We start from the raw sequence: 25,581 nt of genomic DNA, 5'->3' as shown, positions 1-25,581 counted from the left end.
TTCCTATCTTTATAAAGATTGAGCAAGTGATTTAACATCTCTGTGCTTAGTTTCCCCATCTGTGAAATGAGAACAACCACAGTAATTCCTTTGTAGGGTTGATGGGGAAATTAAATTAGCTAATCCATGGAAAACCCTTAGCACAGTTTATGGCATGTGTAGGTATTCTGTGAATTATTGTGTTCTGAAAACACTTGTTTTTATCTTTCAGACATTATGTTGTGTTATACTTAGTTGTTTTCATGTCTGGTTTCTCCAACATATTACAAGCTTTTAAAGGGCAGACCTTAATGGGTCTCATCTATCCTTTCATCTTCCCTAACACAGTGTTTGGCACATAAACAGGCATTCAATCAACTGTTTGCACAATAAATGCAGTAGAACAGAGAGTGGTGAAGCCAGAAGCAGGCTGACCCCAGGCACCATGCAGAGCTCAGAAGGCAGGTCAGAAACTGACTCAGGGCCCAGACCGGGTGCGGTGGCTCATGCCTGTAACAACAGCACTTTGGAAAGCCGAGGCAGGCAGATCACTTGAGGCTAGGAGTTCGAGACCAGCCTGGTCAACATGGTGAAACTCTGTCTCTACTAAAAATACAAAAAATTAGCCAGTGACATATGCCTGTAATTCCAGCCACTTGGGAGGCTGAGGCATGAGAATCTCTTGAACCTGGGAGGCAGAGATTGTGGTGAGCCAAGATCGTGCCACTGCACTCCAGCCTGGCTGACAGAGCAAGACTCTGTCTCAAAAAAAGAAAAGAAAAGAGAAAAGGAAAGGACTAGAGGCCTAACATTCCCAACTTAACTCCCCATAACTAAAGAAATCCACCACCTTCACCTCCATCCTCTGTCCCCAGGAAAGTACTTTCCCATCTCCACTCTTGTCCCTAAAATGGGAAAGGGAAACTGCCTCCCTCTCCATCACACCCCCAGGAAACCACACGACCCTGGCACATTGGAGAGAACCCTGGATACATGACATGACGAAGGGCCTGAGTGGGGATCCTGGCTCAGTCCCTTGCCAGCTTTGTGACCCTGGGCAAACCCCAAAGCATGGCCATTTGCTCATCCATAAAATGTGGATGCCATTTCCACCCAATTGTCAAGGAGATAAGCACACAGGAGTGTATGGTTCACATTACAAAGCACTAAGTAAATATCAAGAACTATTATTAGATAATAGTAAAAGCTACTAATTACCAGGTACTTATTCCCTGACAATTCCCTCATTCCCTGTGCTAACTGTCTTATACATTATCTTATTTAACCCTTATGACCAGTGAGGTAGCTACTATGATCTCCTGTAGTAATTAAAGTACCTGTAGCCAAGAGGGGCTGATTTTACCTCGCTTAAATTTTAAAAATAAGAATAAAAGAAGAACAACAACAAAAGGAAGAGAAGGATGAATTCTTTTTAAGATACTGGAGTTGCTCAAAAAATTAATAAATCCCTAAGCATCCAGACTTGGGGCCACCCCAGGAACTGTGGCTGCAGGTGTTATGACCTGCCCTACAGACTGAAGATATAAAGGTGCCTTCATGTCAGAGGGCCCCGGCTCTGGGTTTCAAATCGCTAGGCTAGAGAAGTTAATTGGCCTGACTCAGTCGGTTGCTATGTCCAGGGTGTAGAACTGCATTGCACAGATCCCTCCTCCCATATATTCCTAAAAAGGAAGAATTGTTTAGTAAGCCAGGAAAGACAGAAAAAAAAAGTAAAACCACCTGTTCAAATCACATGGGTAAGAAGTGAAGGAGGTAGGATTCAAATTCTGGCAGCATGGCTGCAGAGGCTGACTCACAACCACCCCACAGATGGCCTCCGAAGGTAATGAAAGAGGCATGTTTATTAATTTTTGACAACCTAGTGAAAATATTTATCAGATGGCTTCCTGGACCCATTTCATTGGAAAATAGGCAGCATAGTGGGGAGTTTCAGAGTTCCTGTTTTAACATCAGAGACTTGGGTTGACGCTAGCATCACCAATTACAAGCCAAGAAACCGTGGGCAATCATGAGTTCTAAGGTCAGAGTCCTCAAGTGGAAAGTGGAGACATAATAGCATATCCTATATTATTACAATTATATGGCATTCTGGAAAAGGCAAAACTGTAGATAGTTTTTTAAAATCCATGGTTTCCAGGTATGGAGGATAGTTAAATGGGTGAATAGATGAATTTTTAGGGTGGTATAGTTATTCTGTACATTACTGTAATGGTGGGTACATAATATTATGCATTTGTGAAAACCCATTGAAATTTACAGCACAAAGGGCAAATCTTAACATATATAAACTTTAAAAAAATCATTTAGGCAGTCAGGGTAATCCCGGAATGAAATACAGCATGTGACAAAGCAATCTGTGGTACATATGTGAACAACCCTCACTAAAGTGGATGGAAGAAAAAGGTGCTATTTAAGTGGCTTTGGAAATGTATGCAGTCTGTAAAACTAAGGCAAAATAAACCGTACACAAGCACTGTACTCTAGTTGACGAGGCTATTTTCCATGGGGGTATAAGTTAACAATTTTGATACTGCTACATATGTATACTGGAATTGAACAACTAAATAAATGCATGACAGATGCTGAGAGCCAAGTTTATCATTTTTGGAGTAGGAGGCTACAGATAGGCAAGGGGGAAGGCTAGAATGATCCACGTGATAATGGCTTAGAGCTGGAGACATGTAACAGCTTAAGAGCTGGAAACGTCAGTGTGAACACATGTTTAGCATAATACAGATACCAATGGTTACATACAGATATATTTGTAGATCAGTAGATAGGCATCTATAGATTGGTTCACATGCACATGTTTTCTTGCTGTCAGCTGAGAGCTTATAAAGCAGCAGCAACCAGAAGCACCAGCACACCTGGAGCCCAGACCCTATTCTAATACCACCCTCCAATAAAAGGAGCCAGGGCTGGCTGGGCGCCGTGGCTTACACCTGTAATCCCAGCACTTTGGGAGGCCAAGGCGGGCAGATCACGAGGTCAGAAGATTGAGACCATCCTGGCTAACACGGTGAAACCCCGTCTGTACTAAAAAGACAAAAAATTAGCCGGGCGTGGTGGCGGGCGCCTGTAGTCCCAGCTACTTGGGAGGCTGAGGCAGGAGAATGGCGTGAACCCGGGAGGCGGAGCTTGCAGTGAGCCAAGATCGCGCCACTGTACTCCAGCCTGGGCGAGAGAGCGAGACTCCGTCTCAAAAAAAAGGCCAGGGCTTTTTGGAGAAATGACTGATTCAAGGACTAGGGCAGAAGATGTACAAGATAATCCTGGAGTATCTTGTAGTGAGTGCCACAAAGAAAGCAAGAAAGAAACACCTCAAAAACAAAAACCCGCAATGATGGGGGTGTGTCAAAGGGACACAGGAGTCACGTGAAACAGCTCCCAGAGGCAAAAAAAAAACCAAACAAAATCTAGTAGTATACTATTTGATTATAACTCAAAGTATGGAATAAATCTCTATGAGTCCATATTGATAGAAATAAACAATTGAATACGTAAATAAATGGGGAAGAAGAGAGAAATTTTCTGTGCAGAGAAATTTCAAAAATGTTTATAGGTACTGTGCTCTCTGAGGGTGGAATATAACTCCCCCTCCTTAAGTGTGGACTACACGTGGTCACTTTCTTGTGATAGTACAGTATAAAAAAAGGAGAGGGGACAGTAACTTTACGAGAAGAAACCTGACAAACACCGTCTCAGCGAGGTGATGACGTTCAACATCTACAACGTTAAATCATGTTAATAATATGTACCCTGAATATGATGTGATAAGAATGGCATTTTCTCTCTGCCTTCTTCCTCTCAAAAACCCATAACCCCAGTCTAATTATTAGAAAACCTTAGACAAATTCCAAAAGAGGAACCTTCTACTAAACTCCTGAGCAGTACTCCTCAAAACTGTCAAGGTCATTAAAAACAAGTTTAAAGTCTGAGAAACCACTACCGCCAGCAGGATCTTAAGAAGACATGACAACTAAGGTAAGGCGGTATCCTGGGTAGGCTCCCGGAGCAGAAAAAGGACACTAGGTCAAAATAAAGGAAATCCGAATAAAGTATTGGCTTCAGTTAATAATAATGTATCAATATTCCTTCACTAATTGTAACAAATGTGTTATGCTAATATGATTAAAACAACAACAACAGGAGAAACTATATGTTAAAAATAGGAGGCCGGGCGCGGTGGCTCACACCTGTAATCCCAGCACTTTGGGAGGCCAAGGCAGGTGGATCACGAGGTCAGGAGATCGAGACCATCCTAGCTAACACGGTGAAACCCTGTCTCTACTAAAAATATTAAAAAAAAAAAAAAATTAGCCAGGCGTAGTGGCGGGCGCCTGTCGTCCCAGCTATTCGGGAGGCTGAGGCAGGAGAATGGCATGAACCCGGGAGGCGGAGCTTGCAGTGAGCCGAGATTGCGCCACCGCACTCCAGCCTGGACGACAGAGACTCCGTCTCAAAAAAATAAAATAAAATAAATAAAAAAAGGAGAAAGTGGGGGAACTCTTGCTATATTCATAGTTTTTCTGCAAATCTAAAGCTGTTTGAAACAAAGTTGATTAAAACAACCAAAAATTACCCATGCCTGGCACATAGTAATTCTCTATAATAATTTGGCTGTAGTGACGGTAGCAGTAGTACTCATGGCTCCAGTGTAGGCGCATGGAGGAGACGGGGGTCGGGGGGCAAGATTTGCTGAGTCCTTTATGTTCTTCCTGTGGGAATTTAGGTTCAAAGGTCCAGGAAATAAACTGTCACTGTGCTGGTCACCACCCAACAACCACTTCTAGACCCTGTACCAAGGGCAGCAAAGCCCGTAGCTTTATAGTGACTTTGTAGGGAGGAGGGCACTCCCCGATTCCCACAAATAAAGAGAAGGTCACCCTCACATACACACATCCTCCAAGGCAAAAAAAATAAAAAATAAAAAGATTGGTGGAAATGCAAATGCAAAGAAAATGCAAAGATTTCAATCAAGAGGTGTTTTGTAATCAGAAGGAACTTCTAATCAAGGGCCAAGAAACTGACCCCACCCAGTGGCTGCCAGATGACCTAAAAACCCGGAAGTCAGAATGGTGGTTTTCGTTAAATGGTAGCGCTCCCTGGTGTATTGAGCTGGTGAAATATGGCTTGTATTTCCCTTGCCTGCATGCAGTCTTAAATCCTCCCTCAATAGAAAATCTCCTGTCAGGCTGATCCACACTAACCACGGGCACTCCTGCTCTCCCCAAAATAAGCAAGATCAGCCCAGGAAGTCAAGTCCTCATCTCCTGTCAGATGTCAACACAAGCATGCTACGGCCACATTGCAACCAGGTTAGGGACAAAGAAGAGCAGCCTGGATGTACAGCATTACCAAGGCGGATGCTTCTGTGAGCGTCAAAAACCCTGGGTTACAATCACGTTTCACTAACGAAACACAAACAAGCAGTGGCTGTGCTTCATTTGCAACAGGCGTTTCCAGACACTAATATTGCCCACACTTGCTTGAGTTGGAGAATGTCTTTACATTCATAACAAACCTTGAAAGTAGAAGCTGAGACACAAAGTAGCAGCTTAAATGCAGTGCTCTTCGGGGACTTCACTAAGAAACAACCTGAGTGTTCCCCAGTACGATTGCTTTAAGAGTGACGAGAGCGCCCTCTCGTGGGGGAGAAAGGGCCCTGCATGCAGGGTGCAAACCTGTGAGGGCCAATGCACCACCGGCTACGGGGTCAGCCTGGGTTGGATTCATGTGGTTGGTGCCTGCTCTGTTTTCTCCTCCTCATGATCTTGGTGGTGTTCCAAGAGAATTGTCCACCCACATAAGCAAGAGAAAATTCCAGGGGTGAAATGACTGGACTATTTTTAAGCCGACTGGGCCAGGTTGGGTTTCATGTCTCTCCTGATCAGTGTTTGCCTGAGTTTGCAGCTCATTCTCATCACGGAAAAAGCCCTCCCGACTACAGACGGCGGGACAGGCAACTCATCACTGTGACGGAACCCAAGCCAACTCTTTAAGCCAGTGGGCAAGGTCTTAGATAAGACACCAAAATGGAGAAAGTTGCCCATTGCTGAGGGGCGCCCGTTTGGACAAACAGCAAAATGGGGCCAGCCAAGAGCATCATTTCAGACAGAGAAAAACGAGAAGGGAAGGGGCTCAGAGGCATTGGCCTGAAACAGAATATGACTAACTGTTCCCTGTCTAGGTCAACTCCTTAGGACATAAAAATAAGCCACTCAAACAAAGCCATGGTTAGTGTTTTAAACAAAATATAGATATGTTTAAAACTTAGCAACACAGGACAAGTTATACCAACAGCAAAACACAGAAAAATCTGAGGTGAGGGAGTAAGGAGTAAGTCCCTTTGCCTGAATTCATGCCATGTTTTATTAAAGTGAACAAGGAATAGCCATGCTTGAAATCCCCTCCCCAAACGGCTTTGTTAGCTGGACACAGCCACTCCATCTCAGGTGTAATTTCGCACGCACAGGCAGGTGAGGTCCTGAGTTGGGGACAGCTCTCTGGCGGTGAGACATCTCCCCAGAGGCTCACAGGTACACTCTAGCCGCCTATGGGTCTATAGGAGCCCTGGGGAAGAAAAGATGGAGTTTCTGGTTTAGATTAGGTTATTCTGGCAACAAAAAGGAAAGGGCAGGGGAGGAGAACATTATCAGTGTCCTTCAAGAACGGGCAACTTCAGAGGGTATGCAAATAGGCAATAGCTATAGGGGAAAAAAAATTCACAATGGCATCCAAAAAATGTAACTTAAATTAAGGATGTTACGTCATTTTCCACCTATCAGAAGGGCAAAATGAAAAAGCATGACATATCCATTACTGAATATCTGAGGAAAGAGACACCAGACACCACTATTAAAAGGAGCAAAAATGGTCTTCCCACTTCTGGAGACCAGTTGTATCCAATATCTTCAAAACGTGCATATCTTAAGGTCCGGTAATTCCCTTCTGGGAACTCTAAAATAAGACTTGCACAACATTTTCCAATAGGAATATCCCTAAAGGTTTATGAATGACCACATTATAGAGCTTATATTTTGGGCTTCAGGAAATAAGAAAATAAGGACAGAATTCAACCACCAAAAGGCATCTAAGAATTAAGGAAAATGTTGGTGGAACCTCTAAACCTTTTCTCCATGTTCCCAGTGGATATGGTCTATGGCTGATCCCATGATGGGAAATCTCTGCCCAACGGTCAAAATGGTGTTTTCAGCTAGTCTCACAAGTTCAGAGTCATACACCAGCACTTCATTTTCTATTTAAATGTTTACGGTTTAAATTGAAACTGTGGGGGCCTTTCATTCTGTCAGGAGGCCATGGTCAACATCCTCAGTGTGTTTTGTCCTTGGCACAGCCTCCTGGGAAGCCTCAGGCTCAGCTCAGATGCTTCACTATGAACATTACCAAAGACTCGTGGGCATTTCAGAATTTAAGAAAGAGCCCACCTTCACCTAGCACAAGACTTTGCAAATAATCCAGACCCTTTCATCAAAGTGGCTCCACAAGTATGTGGTGTGCACAAGGCCGCCTGGGCAGTCTTTACCTCATCACCCACCTGGCAGGACATGTTTAGAAGCTGCTTCTCTGTGATAAGATTTCCTCCGCATCTTAAATAACCTGGACAGCAATAAGCCAGTGTCAAGGTGGTGGCTGTCAGCTTCTTCTAGGATGGATCAGCAGTGTCCTTGGAAAAGCAAAAAGCTAGAAGCCCAGGTAAACACTTACAACACGACAATGACAAAAAGATATGAATAATAAATACCTTCAAAAATATGATCTTCCTAGGAGACTTTATTTACACGCTCAGCCATTCTTTTGCTTTTTCTCTGGCTCCCAAATAGGATTTAATCTTTTGACAATTTTTCACTCCAAGAAAGACTAAAGAGCCCATGGTGGGAAGGACAATATTGTTCCATGAATCAGGTACAGTATGCCTCAAAAGTCATCACAAATTTAAATTTCTGCCTTAAGTAGCCAAGTGGAAAGGGCACTGCAGCAAGAGTCAGGAAGCCTGGATTCTCACCCAACTCTCAAGAACCGGCTTCTCCACAGTGGGCCTCCATCATCTTTCTGAATTCCAGATTCATCCTCTGTAGAGACAATGTCTAGACTCCCATCTAGCATCCCTGGGAAGGTGAATCCGGGATGGGACCTGCAGCAAAGCAATCGATGCCCCACCCGTTTTCCCTCAGCCTTCATTGTAACAGTGCCCATGGGCCTGACCAACTGCCAGCCCCTGCACCTCCTTACCAGAGGTTCTCTGGCCAGCAGAACCTCCCCTCTCAGGTGTGATCACTCAGAGGCACCTGTGCTACACTCTTTCCCAGACGTTCCCAGTGGAACTGAGCTGCAGCTGTCCACAGTGATGGCGAGCTTGATAGCACATCCTTTATTGGCTTCCTTCCTCCCCTTCTCATTCCCCACTCCCCTTCCCAAGTTTCCTGGGATCATCTCCCACATAAACTATGTACACTGGAATCCTGCCTCTGTGGGAACCCAAACTAGGAGGGGTGATTTGTATGCCTTTCTACGAGGGACTAAACCTTTTCAAATGGCCTGGCCTTATATCTTTAAGCCACGCCTGTGATGTAGAAAGTAGGCCGTTTTCTCCATGGCTGACTGTAATGCAGACTTTTGAAAGTGACAAAGCCTAGTTTTAACGTCACCCCTTGCCCCCCTGTTTGCCCACAACATCTGAAGGTTCCTCCTGATTCCCAGTTCTGATAGATCCTCCTGATTCCCAGTGATTCTCACCTAGGAACCACCAATGAAGGCGGAGGAAGGGGAGGCCTGAACACATCTCCCCTCTTCCCCGTGAGAACCAAGGGGCCACTATTTCACTTTCTTGTCTCCCCATCAGTGTGTTACTTCACTCTTGGAAAGGGGCCCAAATGCTAAGCATGTCAGGTCATGAAGCAGGCTGAGTGGAAGACTTGGCTGATGATCTGGGGCCCAACCACACCTTTTCAGAGTCCAAGTAGTTGAAATGTCAGAATTACAGCCTGGCTACTAACAATGGTACAAAACAGCTAGCTCTATCAAGACCCGGACAATCCCTAGCTTGGCAGAAATAGGCTTGCCTGCAGCCAAGATCTCCTAGAAAAAGCCACCTTCTGGTTCCCAGTCCACATGCACACAGACCACCATTAGATCACAGCAGGAGAAATCTCTGCACCGATATGAGGTGCTGTGCTGTAATTGTCATCATCCACATAAAACAGAGGTGGGAACGAAGCAGGGAGTGTACGCTGTTTTATCAATCTGCACACTCACACATCTGACAACGTTTCACAGAATCCTACCACTGCACCAGCCATGCTCAGAGGGAATCTAGTAGACACTGTTCTGCAGGAAATTACAGCTACCCACAGAAAATCTGAAGTCACAAAGGGAAGGACATGATGAAGGGAGAACATGATAAAACTTCAAAGAAATTCCAAGGCAGAAGATGTGAATGATCAACAGGAAAAAGGCAATTAGGAGGGAATTGGGTCTACCCAGAGGGAGACATAATGAAACCTAGCCCCATTCATGGATTTCACATCTCCAAAAGAACAGTGAACCTGATTCATCCCTACTGGCTTTACTTGACACCATGAAGGAAGAGAGTGAACAAGAACACATGATAAAAGGTTAAAGAGGAAAGTTGAAGTCAACTTGAACGAAGCCTGCTTTTCACACCAAAGCACTCAACGTAAAAGCCAGCCCACCAGGGTGGTGACGGGTGAAGATACCCTTACCAGAAACAGAAAGAGGCTCTCAGATGGAGGCTGGAAAAAAAAAGGCAGGGGTAGGATCTGCAGTGCTGTAAGATATTAGAGACAGTCTAGGTTTGCTTTCTCATCCTGAGGAGAAGGAAACGCAGCCCAGAAATGTGCAGTGTCTGCCTGAGTCACACTGCAGTATGCAGAAGAGCTGAGTCCCCATTCTTCCCAGCAGAGCTCTTTCCACCACCATGTCCCTCCTAGGAGGAATCAACCAGGTGAGCTCTGGCTCTAGGGAGGTTCCCTCTATTTAAGAATCTTCTCATATCATTCAGGAAACATCTAGCAACGTGCAAAACAACTCCTAGAATGGCATTATGACCCAGCAATCCCACCTCTGGGTACATATCCAAAGGAATGAAATCAGTATCTCAAAGAGGTATCTGCAGCCCTGTGGTCATCACATCATTCTTCACAAAAGCAAAGATATGGAAACAACCTAGATATCCATGGAACAATGAATGAATACAGAAATATGAATACACAATGTGATAAAAATACACAATGGAACAATGGAATATTACTTAACCTTAAAGAAGAAGGAAATCCTGTCATTTGCACCAACATGGATGAACCTGGAGGGACAGCTATGTGAGCTGATAGATACATTAATAGCTTTGATTGTGGTAATCATTTCATAATGCATATATATATATCATGTTGTACACCAGAAATACATCTAATTTTTATTCATCAGTTATACCTCAATAAAGCTGGTGGGGCGGGGAAGTGGGGATTATCCTAAAGCCCTTCCTTTGCTTATAGGTCTGCTTACAGATTAATGGGGGATGCCAGGCTCCCTGGGAATATACTCTTTCCCACTGCACTACAGAGAGTAACCTCATGTTTGAGCCTTCTCTTCTAATATCTAGACATGGAAAACAGACCAACCATGAGCAATTCTTCACTATACATGGTTGAATGGCTTGTTAAGGAAAAACCCCACATGTCTGTCTATCAAACAAACATGATTTGACCATATGCAGCAGGCACAAAAAGATTATAAAGATTCAGAACCTAAGCCCCATAAGCCAGAAAAGTAAGCAGCAGCATCAGCAAATCTTCATCATAGAGAGACCGATTACCAGGTGCCATACACTGTGCTCCAAGCTTTACATGAATTATCTGACCTTATTTGCAAGAATATGATGAGGCAAGCATTGTTATACCCATTTGACAGACAAAGAAACTAAGGCTCGGCAACGGGAATTGACTGAACTATGGTTATACAATGAGTAAATAGGAGAATCTGAGGATGAAACACAAGTCTGCCTGATTCTAAGCCTTTGCTACTTCTGTCTCCCAAATAAATACAATTTTCATTCATTTAGTTAATCCTTAACTTAGAATGGAACAAGTTTCAGGTGGTGATACATGAATACGTGGAAAAGCTGTATTAGAAAGGGTCTGGGGATTTGGGTGGGTTTTTGAAAGAGAGAAAAGTTACTGTCTGGCCTCCACTGAGGCCCCTGGGGACAGGAGACAGGCAATGGAAGAAAGAGATGACACACTTTCCTGTGGCCAGATGGAAAGCTAGTGTCAGCAGCCTTCATATGTACATGAGGTCTGTACTTTGCAAAAAAAGAAAAGCATTGCAATTTCCCAGCATAAGTTTATCCATTGTGGTAAGTATCTGAACTCTCTTGGAGGGAAGGGAGAGGAAGCAAATAATAAAGAAAAATAAATAAAGATATCGGAAGGAAAACCAAACAAATTTGCCCTAAATTGGGCAACCTATTTGCCCAAGAGGGGAAATGTAGATGAAATGTGAACATGAAAACCCAAAAAGAAAAGAAAATATAGCCCCGGAAACCTTCCTATATCTGAATTCGTAGAACATTCTCTCCTACTGGGATGAGCAGTTGAAATTTTTATAACAGAGCTTTGTTATATATCAAAGAAATGCCTTTTAGGGAAAAAGAAACTTTGGGGAAATAAAAATTCTCGTTAATAGCCTCTTGAGGATATCAAGCATTCATCTTAAGGGCTCAACTGAGGAAACAGATGCGTCAAGCAGTCCCCATGGTACAGACTGAGGCACACGTGGGGGTTACTTTCCTGGAAGCACAATGTTGGGTTTGTTCTATTAATTATAAATTTACTGAGCATATTCCACAGTGATGTAAGAGGCAAACATGAATACCCCATTATCCTTTTTCAGCTTAAAAGGAACTCTACTACAAGGCAGAATGTAACTGACTGGTAAAACAGGTATAAACAACAACATTCCAAAGACAGGGACCCATACAAAGAGAGAAGGGTCACGAATACAGAAGGCTCCTTGGAAGAAATGCTACTTAGAGAGTTAGGCTCTGAGGGGTGAAGAGAGATGATGACAGATGAAGATTGAGGGCTAAAAGAGAGTGAAAAAAAGGCAAGAGAAGAGTAGGGAATAAAGACCAAGCACAGGCCAGAGATGAAACTGAGAAGGCTCCCTCATTCATTCCGCCTGTATTGGAAACACGTGTTGAGCACCTGCCATTTGCTGGACACTGTTGTAGGTGCTTGGGACACAGCATGAACAAACAAATATCCCAGTCTCATGGAGCTTACGTTCTAGTTGAGGTAAAATAGACGACAAACAAAATATGTAAGTAAACGGTATAGAATATTGGGAGGGGTAAAGTTCTCTGTCATAAAGAAAAATCAAGCATGGAGAAGAATGTTAAATGCTGGGGAAGGGGGAAGATTGATTGCAAGTTGGTTGGTCCAAGAACACACATGGTCTTGCATCTCAGGTTAAGATATCTGTGCTTGATTTCATAGACAATCAAAGAGGCAAAATACTTTTAAAAGCCTTAGCAGTAAAAGTGAGTGATCAGGCCAGGAACAGCAGCTCACGCCTGTAATCCCAGCACTTTGGGAGGCTGAGGCAGTTGGATCACCTGAGGTCAGGAGTTCGAGACCAGCCTGGCCAACATGGGGAAACCCTGTCTCTACTAAAAATACAAAAATTAGCTGGGCATGGTGGCAGGTGCCTGTAATCTCAGCTACTTGGGAGGCTGAGGCAGGAGAATCACTTGAACCCAGGAGGCAGAGGTCGTAGTGGGCCAAGATGGCACCATTGTACTCCAGCCTGGGAGACAGAGTGAGACTAGTCTCAAAAAAAAAAAAAAAAAGAAGTGGGGGGAGTGATCAGTAGAAGTTAGCTAATGTTGGTAGTGTTTAATTTAGGATGTATTTGAGGATGTGACACGTGGAGCAGTACACGGAGTCATTAGACATAGCATGAGATGGAGAGAAGCATGTAGGAGAGATGTCAAGGAGGAGGTCGGAAAGTACATTTCATCAAACACTGGTCTTCCTAGATACTTTCAAAGAAGGTTCTACAGGGAAATAAATTCAGAAATGAGAAAACCACCCAACCCCTCCTGGCAGCATATTAAAAGTTCTAATTTGTCCTGAGGCTAAACCAACAAACAAAATGATATTTAACTGTCTAAATTAATATTTTATACTTTGTCCTGATCAATTTTTTTTAGCGGTGAGGGGGGTGGAACCCCTATTAAAACCTGGCAGGACTAACTTTATGAAATGCTGAACAAGAGGGAAAAAGAAAAAATCCTACAAATTGGGAAAAGACGATGGATTTGGGAGAGAGAAAAGAAACTGAATGACAGGCTCTGGAAAGCACTTGACTGGAAGTGTGGACAGGAGTGTGAGGGAGAAAAGAAGGAGGAGGGGAGGAGCCGTCAAAGTCAGAGAGGACAGGAGCATGCCAAGATGCCACTAACAGAATCTTCAAGAACATCTCAATCAAAAGTTGAGCCACTTTCAGGGAAAGTGCAGTGAATGCTAACACTCCTTCTGAATGCCTCTCATCTGACATCAATGAAAACAAGGAATTAAAAAAGGGATAATCTTCCTTTTATGAAGGGAGAGAAGTTAAGGCTTTAGACAGACACCATCCTGGATCACCCCTGCAATCAATCCTGAAGGGATAGAGAAGGACAGTGAATTTTGAAGAAGCAAGAAAAGGAGAAAGTGTTGTTTAGAATTAAGCCTTGTTTAATCAGTCTGGGAACGTAAAGAACAGCTTAAATCATTAATCTTGAAAAGCACGTCTTGTCCACTCATGCAGACATATATAATTCAGGCACCTTTTTTCCTTGGCTGCTTAGCAGATTGTCTGTATTTATTAAATTGCCTTTACTACTTTTAGATGGCCATACGTTTTCAAAAGCAAAGACCTAGTAAGCCATTTGTGTTCATTTGCTAAGCTATCTTAGGTACAGGTCCAGATTATAAATGTTACCTGCTAATCAGAGAGCAAATTTTTAAATTAATCACTTGTAAATCCACATTAAAAGAAAAAGAAACTTAGAAAAACACATAAATTTCTTTTGTGATCCCACTATTCAGGAAAATCCATTGAAAAAGCAGATGACTTATCCGTGTTAAATTTTTAAAGCCCCTATTAAACTGTCATGTAAATTCTTATTTATCTAATTTTTAAACACATATAGAATTTACTCTCCAGTTCATAAATGCCTCAATTCTGTGATGTCATTACAACAGCATTAACGCAGACATATCGACTTAAACAGCCATGCAGTCCTGAATCAGAAGTGAGTTTTAAGTCACTAATTATTTCCGTAATTGAAAAAGAACAACACATCTGAATAGTATTTTGGCCCAGAGGTATTCAACAGGCTGGTGCTTCTCAAAGAGTAACATGCATGATATACAGGAACCTTGTCAAGATTCAGATTGAGTCAGTGGGTCTAAGGTGGAGTCTGAGACTCCACGTGTCCAACAAGCTCCCTGGTGATGCCCATGCTGCTAGTACACGTCCCACACTTTGAGTTGAAAGGCAATAGATGATCCTTCCAGGATTCAAGGAGGGGCAGCGGGGTTGGATGAAATAGACTGGGTGAAAAGGACTGAGTTGCTTTTTTAGCTTTCCCAGTGTGATTCCTGCTGGACTCTCTGGAAAGCATTGTTGTCCTTTGGTCTAGAAAGACTTGAAAGTTCAAGGTCTAAAGTCATATGTGCAAAATGTGGTGGAATAAATGTTAAGGAGAAACAGGAAACTGTAATAACAGTGTGAGGGTTGGTGACAGGCTCTCTACTCTGAGCAGCTAAAAATTATAAAGAGGAGAATTCTTAGACAAGCCTGGGTTGACGTTCAGGATTCAGATTTGTTTATAAATGTCTGGCTGATTCTTGAGACAAGGCAAGTTCTGAACAAGCTACTTTAAGATAAGCATTATTATTTTCAGTAAAGGAATGAGAAACTCAGAAGATGCCTGAGGCCACTCAACTCATAACAGAGTGAAGACACAAATCCAAGAGGTCTCCTGACTCCAATAAAGGAGGCCCTCACCTCTAAATTACACAGTTTGTCAAGGTGATCCCCAAACCAGTTGGTAACCAATGTTTGAGAAATTCATAGAAGCTATCAGACTTCAGGACACAACTGTCATCTATGTCAACTTTTCAAGAAAAGAAGATACCAGGAACTATAGACTAGTTTGCTTCACAGAATCATTAGGGGAAGCGGGGAGAGTATTGTATTTATTAAAAGAAGTGGTGAGTGCATTAGAAGCTAGCATGGGCTCACTGCCCATCTCCCCTCCCAGGTGAAGCCAAGGCAGGGGGAATCCTTCCGTGTTGTTTTCTTCAGCATTGATTGTAAGCTCTCAAAGCAGTGGCTGTTCCATGATAGGCACTTAAATATTTGTTGAATGACTGAACAAATGAGTGAACAAGAAACAGGCCAACACACTCCAATATTTGTCAAGTTCAACTAGAGGCCAGGCACTATGGATACAAAAACAAATAAGATGTAGTCCCTGAGTAGAAGTGGTTAGGTCTGTTTTCTTAACTGTTAGTTTGGAAAGAAACTTATGGCTTCTTGCTTATGTGGTATTTGATGTTCTGGTTGCCCTTTCCTCCATCCTCTTTCCTTGGCCTCAGAGTGGGGATTACTGACCGAGCTCCTTGACCTTTCTCCTCCTTCCATTGTGGCCAAGCAGCACGCTTTCCCATCTTCTCATTCTGTGCCAGAAGCCTCCTGCTACTCCTGAGCCCATGCTTCTCATGAGGTTTTAGTGGTGAAGGGGAAAAACATGGGCCCTAGAGTTTGAGAGACCTGGTTCATTTACTGAGCATTTCCACATGCTACATGATGCTCCAAGCTATTTACACAGATCCACTTATGTACTGCTCACAGTGACATGGGAGGTGACATTACACTTTCTCACAGATAAGAAGACTGAGGCCCAAAAGGCTATAAACTGGCCCAAGGCTGGCAAGCTAGGAAGTGGTCCAGTGGGCTTAAGACCCCAGCAGTCCTGCACTAGAGCCCACTGTTCCCCATAACTCCAAGCCCCCTCTCAATAGTGAGGCCTCAATAAGCCGCAGCCCCTATCATATTTTCAGATCCACAGTCTTCTTCTCAAGCACATGAGAAATGCCTTATCCTGGGGGACAGTGACCCCATCTGCTTGGTGCGACACTGCTATTCGATAACAATTTTTCTTCCCAAAAGTTTTTGATGTCAGCATGGGCGTGGGCTGAAGAGTAATGTATTGAATTGTTTGGAAAATATTCATGGAACATGTAGATGCAAGAAAAACAACAACAACACTTTGGTATTATATTCCAAGAGAATTTGATTTTTCAAAGGTTTTAAGTCCTCTTCCAGTATATAACCTTTTATCAGAGGGGGCCACTCAAAGAAAAATGGGGGCTGTAAGCTTGTCTACACTGTCATGTTCCCACACTTCCATTTCAAATACATGCACACACAGACGGACACACACACACACACACACACACACACACACGACTTGGTAAGAAGTCCAAAGTGGGTCCTGGGAGAGTACTTTTGCAATCACCTAATGAGGCTTTGACAAATGAGTTTGCTAATAGGACTGCCAAATGACTGGTGAGGAATGGCATGCTCTATAGGCACTGTAAAAATTCTCTTTCCTTTAAAGACAGAAGACAAGTTAGTGGCAAGGATATTACTTTTTAAATAAATCCAAAGTTAGTTTTAAACCCTTTACTGCCAAGATCCATTTCATTAAGTACAAAAATAGGTTCCTTCCCACAGCCCAAAAGCCTTCTATGAAAGTAAACAGGGTGAGTTCAATTTTCCTAAAAATTTGTTTTAAAAAAATCACTATGTTGCTGTCTCAGGCATTTAATTTCCCTGTGATAAGAAAGTAATCCCTCCTTTGCCCTCTGCCGGTTCTGGCTGTGGGCCAACACTTTCCAGCAGAATAAAGTCAAAGAAATAAAAGACATAAAAGATACGGTGTGCCCAGATCTAATCCTCCATGTGAATTGACCCAATGTGGCTCACAGCAATGTGATCCAGAAGCAGATGAAAAATTTAAAAGAAAAAAAAAAAGGCAGGCATTCAAGACAAGGAAGCGGGGCCTCTACCAGCAAGTTCTGCCTATTGCATTCTCCAGATAACCACAGCTGGACGCTCCTCACTGCTAAAAAGGTCCAAACAGGATTCTTCAATGTCTTTAGAATGGCTAGAGTTTTCTAATATGGTGATTTAGGTCTTTTCCAGTTTTTATTCCCATCTTATGCAACTCATGATGTCAAAGATGACTGTCTTCCCTTCTTTCTCTAGCAGCAGATTCTTCCTCCCTGCCCAGTCAGGAGCCACACTGTGGTCCATTCACCCTGAGAGTGTCCTGCATAACTTCACACCTATCATGAAAAGGAGGCTACCTTTCCTCCTCTTCCCCTGGTTGGTGCTGAGAATGGAAAATTAGCTATGGCTATGCAGGTGTAGACAACACCCTAGGAAGTGATGGAGCATGAAGACAAGAGAAGAATGGGTCCCTGGAAGACACAGTGGAGCAGAGACAAATATGCTTTCTAGACGCCAGGCCACATCTACTCTGTCATGTGAAAGAGAAACACACTTCTATTTGATTTAAGCCGCTGATGTTGTAAACCTCTTTATTCTAACAGCTTAGCCTCTTCCTTAAGAGGCTAACTCACTCATCCTTGACTGCTGCCCTAACAAAGATGGAATTTCTCCACCCCTCTCCGCATTCCCTCCCATCTCCATACCTTTGCTTTTAGGGGTAGCTTCCCCTTACTGGGATGTCATCTTCCTGACTAAATGCTCCATCCCCCAAGGCCCAGCAGGGGGTCTCTTCCCTCCTCTCTAAAGAATCCTCCACTAACTGATCCCTTTGCCCTGGAGATTCTGTTGCCCTTTTCATCTGAAGCCTTAGCACTTGATCAGGTGCCAATGAGCACAGGACTTTGTCTTGTGAGTATATTCCTCCCTGTCTTCACGTGTATATTGAAACCTAAACCGAAGCAGGGGTCTTGGTTGAATCTCAACTCTAGGGCAGTGTAGAAATGGGTGGCTTGCAGAGCCTCTCCTTATCCTTACATAATGGTTGTCATGAGGAGACTGAATTACATGCTAAGGTGCTATTATAATGAAGATGCTAGATCCATTTTGCTTGTTCTTTTCATTTCCAGATGGGAGGGGATGTATGTGTTATTTCCCCAAAAACTTTGTTATAAATCTTGGCTTAAAATAGGGATTTTAATGAATGATTTAAATGGCAAAAATCCATCTGTACATGCTTTTTTTGCTATAAGTAAACATGTTGATGATCTATAGAAAAGGCAAGCTTTAGTCTTTCACTTTTTAAAAAAAAACTACATGCTATCTTTTGTTGAATGCTGATTCTCCTCCTCTGACATGGATTCTCTAGGAGTTCAAATGACTTAAGCACACTTAATGGGGACTTGCAGGACCTAGGAGGTGTGGTTTGCTTCAGGGTTTGGCTGGAAGAATATTAGACTCTCCAAGTCTAGCATGCCAGTGCTGGGGCTACTTCTTAGCCTGACCCAGGGAAGATGCATACGTAAACTGACTTCTTTTCTGGGCAACAGACGAGAGAAACCCTCTCTTTTCTGGAAATGGAGATAGTTCTAAGAACTTATCTCCACAGCAAAAATCTCTAGCCATGAAGGGTGCTGCAACTCAGCATTATGAAATAAATCATGCTGGCTAATAAAAATATCCATTGGGACTGTCACAAAGGAGACTGGTAAGCATGCTGGTGCCAGCTCAGTAGATGGGCTGCCAGGGACATCCCAGCATGGTGCATGGAAACCAAGTCTCCAGGCTACTAAAAAATGCCCTCCGTCCATTCCGTCTTTCATCCAAATCAACCCAAGTCATTAATTATTTCAAGAAACATTTACTGAGTACCTACCATAGGCAAGTCCCTAAGTGTACAATAAAAAACAAGCCTGGGCACGGTGGATCATGCCTATAATCCCAGCACTTTGGAAGCCTGGGTGGGAGGATTACTTTAAGCCAGGAGTTTGAGATCACTCTGGCAACTTAGCAAGACCCTCTATACCAAAAAAAAAAAAAAAAAAAAAAATTAGAAAATTAAAATTTAGCTGGGCATGGTGGTACATGCCTGTAGTCCCAGCCACTCAGGAGGCTGGGGTGGCAGGATCCCTTGACCCAGGAGTCCAAGGAGCTGTGATTGCACCACTGTACTCCAGCTTGGAAAACAGAGAGAGAACCTGTCAAAAAAAAAAAAAAAGAAAGAAAGAAAAGAAAGAAAGAAAGAGCCCCAGTCTTTGAGGTTTTTACTGTTCTGTGGGAGAGGCAGAAGTAAACAGGCAATTTCAATATAATCTGATAAACACTCTGCCAGAGGAAGTACAAGGATCAATAGGAGTCCACAAAGAGGAAGACAAAAGGCAAGCAGAGTAAGCAGGGACCATGTGACCAGCAGGGGCAGCAAGGACCAACCTAACCCCCATCAGGCTCCAGGTAGCTTTGGAGTCACACATTTTCCTGCCCCTTACCTGGCAAAAGAATGGCCTTCCTTCCTTCAGAGGCACAGCAAGGGCAGCCAAAAATAAAAGGGGATTGAATCGCCCACAGTGTTAATGAAATACCTTGTAAATGTCAAACAGGCAGAATGCAAAACTTCTCTCTGCTCAAGAGTTCTTGATATCTACTTCCACGGAGCATTGGATTAATCTCTTTCACCAAAAAAAACAATAAGAGCTGAGAGTAGAGACAGGCAGAGGAAGCATCCACTTCTGCAGTCAGAAAACCAAAATTAGGCCAATTATATTGTTCCAGAACCTAGATTTCACGGTGAGAGGCACCATATGAATAAACCAGTGATTGATAGATACATCTAAATGAGCGTTTGGCAAAGCAGTGAGGAAGTAAAGAGATTCTGTCGTTTTGGCATTAGGATTGAATTTATTCCTCCTCGAGACAGGTGAGGATTCAGAGCTTATTCATGTGTCATCCCCATCCTATTCTACTTTGAACTTCCTCAGTCACTGGAAAAGAGACATGCACAGAATTTTAGAGTTAGAATCTGAAAGATCATCATTGCACAGGCGAGAAATCTGAGGCTCAGAGAACATAAGTGACTTGCCCGGCTGATTAGGGTCACAACCAGAACTAGAAACCAGGCCCTGGACTCTTAGCTGAGTGCTTGTTTCGCTAATCTGCTCTGAGCCCAGAAACCTGGCACTAGGCAAGAACTTCTTCGGGAAAGATTACGATTTCCTCAGAGACTTTTTTCCTTTCATATCTCTCCCTCTCTCTGAGAATCTATGTCACCCAGACATAGGTGTCAGGACAAAAGCTATACCAGTTTAAAAGCTTTCAGCTTGGCTTCCTATAGGGATAAAGGCCAAGGAGCAAATCCACAAAGAGAGAAAAAGAAGCCACTGTTGCCGAATGAGCATTTCTTCCCAAGAAACAGTCCATGTACAACTGTGTGTGTGTGTGTTTATATGTGTGTGTGTTTCTATGTGTGTATGTTTATATGTGTATATGTTTATATGTATATTTGTAAGAGCATGTGAGTGCTATATATATACATATGTATGTATGAGTTGTGAATGTATGTGTGAATCTGTGTGCTTAAGTGTGCATATATGTGTGCTTATGTTTGTGTGATTGTGCATGTATGTGTAGGTGCATAGATTTTTTTTTTTTTTTTCCATTGAGACGGAGTCTCGCTCTGTCGCCCAGGCTGGAGTGCAGTGGCGCGATCTCGGCTCACAGCAAGCTCCGCCTCCCGGGTTCACGCCATTCTCCTGCCTCAGCCTCCCTAGTAGCTGGGACTACAGGCGTCTGCCACCACGCCCAGCTAATTTTTTGTATTTTTAGTAGAGACGGGGTTTCACCGTGTTAGCCAGGATGGTCTCGATCTCCTGACCTCGTAATCCGCCCGCCTCGGCCTCCCAAAGTGCTGGGATTACAGGTGTGAGCCACTGCGCCCGGCCAGTGCATAGATTTTTTTAAACTCCTCCTTTTATTCTCAGGGGTAAAAAAGGGGAAAATGAGATCTTTACAAACTGGTTTTGGCTGCCATTACAAAGCTATGCATCTATCCCACTGGAGAGTTTACTAGGGGTCCACTTACCTGGAAGTCCTTTGCATTGTTTGGTAAATGTAAAAAGGCACTCTACTGAAGTTCTAAAGAACAAATAGAAGCTGGAAGAAACATACAAAAAGATATGATATGTCAAGTAGACATTTTAGAGAAAAAGTATACAAATACTTGTTAATCAGGGCAGTGACATTCTATTTGGAAGGCTGTTGGGATTTGCATAGAATGACCCATTTTAGGGAGGTGCTGGGAAGAGCATGGGAACTGCAGCGATGCAGAGTACAAGGGTCCATGGGTCAGGTTCTGGTCCTGTGGTGAGTGCTTCCTCCTAAATATTGGTCTTGAATCATGCCTTTGTTTAAATTTCCTGGTTTTTTTCAATTTCACCAGGAGCAGGCTGGCAATATCAATATTTTCCTCAGGAAGAACCCCACCCTATGTTCTCAAAGAAAAAAAACTTTCAAGGAAATACATCACTCTGGGGACACTGTGTTCTGTCACCTCACAAAAGCACTAAGGGTTCAGTGACCCTGTCTTTGTAAAGGACCAGATGTCTCCCCTCCATAAGCCCTTCTGAAAATGATTTTACCTATTCTCATGTTTATCAAAAAAATGAAATATTTTCAACCAGCACTTTTTGACATTCAGAGACTTCAGAATGCAGTCTTCTTCACTAGACTGTTAGGTCTTTGAGAGCAAAAATGAAGTATTTTATCTCCATATCCTGAGGACATGTCATGATGCACAGTGTACATTTAAGAAAATATAAGTACTAATTAATGTGTGGCTGAATATAGAGCGAAGTTTTACCACAACAGAATGAAGGTTTGTTGTTGAAGTTATGCAATAGTAGTTACAGTGAGGTTTCCAAGTCACTTGAGCTATGCCAGTGGTTTAACAAGGAGTGTTTGGGTCAGAGATGGCTTCCTCAGGGCAACAGTGAATTCAGAGCCACAAATGGCCGAAACCAAGAAATTCAAAATCATATAGATATTTCCTGCTAAACTGGACAAGTGTTTCGGCTTTGGGTAAGTGATAGAATCTCTTGGAAGGGTTCCTAGCCTGGAGAATCACCATCTTAAAGCCCCTAGCAATACATACAAACTAGCTCCCTTGCAGGGACATGACTGCAACTTACAGAGAAGAGAAACCAGTAACATGTTTTACTCATAGACTGAAGAATACACATAAAGACAAGGATTATTAAATCATAATCTCCTTGGAGTTCATGACGGTAGGTGGGAGGAAGATTCCCTACTTGAAATTTCTACTTTGAACAAAATGTCCTGATCTTTCATTGCATTTGTTTCTATCCCATCTCTATATATTCTGTGCTTCTTGACCACCATCCCTTGGATCACCTGCCTCCCAGAAATGTCTTTCTATAACACACTGACTGCGCAGAATGTCTACTTAGGGCAAATTAAAGAAAGTCTTCTCATCTACATGCAACTGGCCACTTCAATCTTAGAAATTCCCCAACATCACATCCATAGCACGGCTAACAGCTGAGGGTGCTGAAAATCGGGGCAAGAATCTCTGCAAACACTCAGGTGTCCCAGACAGATGCAATATAATAGGAAGAACCAACTCCACATAGATTTTTGCCAGATAGTCATTTAGCCTAGTGGTTGCCTCCTCTCTGAAAACACAGGCAGTGTGGCAGAGCAGGGGACAGTAAAGTGACTTAAAACAGCACAGACTCCCAGGCGGGCAGACCTTGTTTTCAATTCCTCCTCTTACTTCCTGGCTCTGTAATATTGACCAGATCACTAAACCAATCTGAGTTTTGGCTTTCTTATTTAAAGACTGAGACAAAAGTATCAACTTCATAAGCTATTGTAAAGACTAAATGAGATGTTTTTCAAGCACCTAGGATTGACTGACACTGGATGAATGATGTTAGCATCGTTACTGGGATTTGTATGAGAACTGCCATTTCTGAGGCCTATAGATTTGACAACTTTACAAAAAAATTCTCACCAAGTTAGTGATAAAGGCTGCAAATCCAAATCTTCCTAAGGGAGTAAAAATAAAAGAGAAATTACTTCCCAAATACTTTAAACTTTCTTTAAGCAACAATCAGTTTCCCAGAGTTGCCATGCTCTAGAGATGCCATATGATTTCGGGGTCAAATGCCTCCCCAGTTCTGATATTTAACCAACTGTGAAAGCTATTTATTACTAGGTATCTTCTTGGCTTTGCTCATCTAAAAGGAATATTTTATGCACACACACACACATACACACACTTTGTTGAACAGTACTCTTAGGGATTTTTTTTTTCTCCTGTGAAAACCAAGTAGGATAGAATTACCTTAGGGATCTCTACTCAGAATCACAGAAGACGCCACTTAATTAGATTACAATTGAGTTTGTCAAAGATGACTAGATGATATATTATAGATTGCAAATTTAGCACTAATATCAAAACCCTCACACATTAGCAGTTCCTATAAATGCATTTATTTGTAAGCTGTACATCAAAGAACAAAGAGACTATTGACAACAAAGCTATTTTGTAGAACATTTGCCTCCCGACAGAAATAAATGCATTTAAAACAGCTGTTGACCAGGTTCCTGCCATTTAGTAAACCCTTTGAATTTGGTTTCTGGAAGTGCATTTATAAATGGGCTGTAGCTGTCGCTTTTTATTAGCTATTTACAATGAAGAGTATAAACTTCTAAAATAAAGCACCTGTGTTAAGAATTCTGCTGTGAGCCTGTTAGAGGTGGGCGGTGCAGCTTCCCAGCCCTGTGCAGCTGATTCCAGACTGCACATGAGCAAGCACCAAAGACCTGGTCTCAAAAGGGCCCCATCCTGAGCAGAAAAGCCTGGGGTATGCGACAGAATCACAGATTCAAGGCACAGCTGAGCCAGAGCCAAGTCTTTCAAGAGAAAAGACTGTGGGGCTCCTTACCCACAACACAGATAGGGACACATATGACTCCTGGAATCAATAATGTACACCTAAGAGTATAGGAGAGCCGCATGGGTGGAAACCTATCCAGGCAGGAAATAATCACCTTTCTACCTGATGTCTGTGTGCTGAATTAGGCTTTGAAGAAGTTGCCTGAAAGGAGAAATCCTATCTTGGGTGACAGGTAGCTCCACTATGGGGCCCCTCACCTGATGTTCGATTTGCGTCACAACATGGCATGATAGATGGGATATTTGGTAGCCAGTAAAATGCATACCCAAAAGAACACAGGCTTTTCAAGTCAGCCCCATGTCCAATGAATTTTGACTTTGGTCCTTATTAGCTATTTGATCTGAGTAGGTGAAACAGTCTGAGCCTTAAGTTTCCTCAACTGCAAAATAGGGATAATAATGTCCACCTCACTAGAGTGCTGCAGTAAATGAGCTAATTTATGTAAAAATACCCAATTCAGTTTCCATCATATCAGTAGATGTTCAATATTTGGTTCATTTTTAAAGCAAGTCACACAACAACATGGAACATACTTACATACTAAGTTAAAAAAATATAGATTAACACAAATGCAAAACACTACTTTGTGCAATAAAGCAAACAAACATAAAACAGAGTAGGAACAAATCCTCTAAATCTTAGCCATGCTACATTTGTATGGAGGGCATATTAGCAAGTTTTTTATTATTTTCCAAATTTACTTTTAAGAAGAAAGTATTCCTTTTTTTTTTTTGAGCAGAGTCTCGCTCTATTGCCCAGGCTAGAGTTCAGTGGTGCGATCTTGGCTCACTGCAACCTTTGCCTCCTGGGTTCAAGTGATTCTCCTGCCTCAGCCCTCCAAGTAGCTGGGATTACAGGTGCATGCCACCACGCCTGGCTAATTTTGTATTTTTAGTAGAGATAGGGTTTTACCATGTTGGCCAGGCTGGTCTCGAACTCCTGACCTCAGGTGATCTGCCTGCCTCGGCCTCCCAAAGTGCTGGGATTACAGGCGTGAGCCACCGCACCTGGCCAGAAAGTATTACTTTTATAATGGCAAAATGTTATAGTTTTAGTAACAGGTAGTTACTTAGCCTGAGCGTTCTTGAAAGAGACAGTCTGTCTGAAGACAGTGCTTTTCATGACACAGACACAAGGCAAGAGCCATTGCCCCAGAGCTGGTAAAACACTACCCATGCAGGAGTTCAGGTGCTGCACCTTTTGTCAGGAGGGCACAAACAGGAAACAAGCAGTGGCCACCTCTAGAGGGGCTCACACCTAAGGGACTCACAGGGAAGAAAAGATGAGGGAAAAGGGACATCTGAAAACTGAGCAGGAAAAAGCCCAATCCTGTCTCTGACCTGTCTCCTAACCCATGGTTAAACCACTGGCTGATGTGTGACACCCCTCCACAGCATGGCAGTGACAGAATGTTAGAGCTGGAGGATAACTCCGGTGTCATCTGTCCAGTGCCCTCATCTCATAGACTAGGAGCTTCAGGCCTGGAAAAGGTGAAGGGCATTTA

The 25,581-nt window shown here is 42.9% G+C and overlaps 1 protein-coding gene across 12 annotated transcripts in view, besides 1 other annotated feature; it reads right to left on the bottom strand.

Annotated features, from left to right (window-relative positions):
- The window catches only part of ST6GALNAC3 (ST6 N-acetylgalactosaminide alpha-2,6-sialyltransferase 3), a 562,594-nt gene that overhangs the window by 477,389 nt on the left and 59,624 nt on the right, over positions 1-25,581 (bottom strand). The window lies entirely within an intron of this gene.
- Positions 5,561-5,670: a silencer, noted in NCBI's record as "silent region_1000". NCBI's record gives its function as "represses an Ori minimal core promoter by ATAC-STARR-seq in GM12878 lymphoblastoid cells {active_cell/tissue: GM12878}" and the evidence as "EXISTENCE:reporter gene assay evidence [ECO:0000049][PMID:35858748]".

Source organism: Homo sapiens, chromosome 1 (genome assembly GCF_000001405.40).
Source record: "Homo sapiens chromosome 1, GRCh38.p14 Primary Assembly".
NCBI classification, from domain to species: domain Eukaryota; kingdom Metazoa; phylum Chordata; class Mammalia; order Primates; family Hominidae; genus Homo; species Homo sapiens.
The sequence above is the reverse complement of the archived record's forward strand: the minus strand, read 5'-3'. Positions and strand labels throughout refer to the sequence as shown.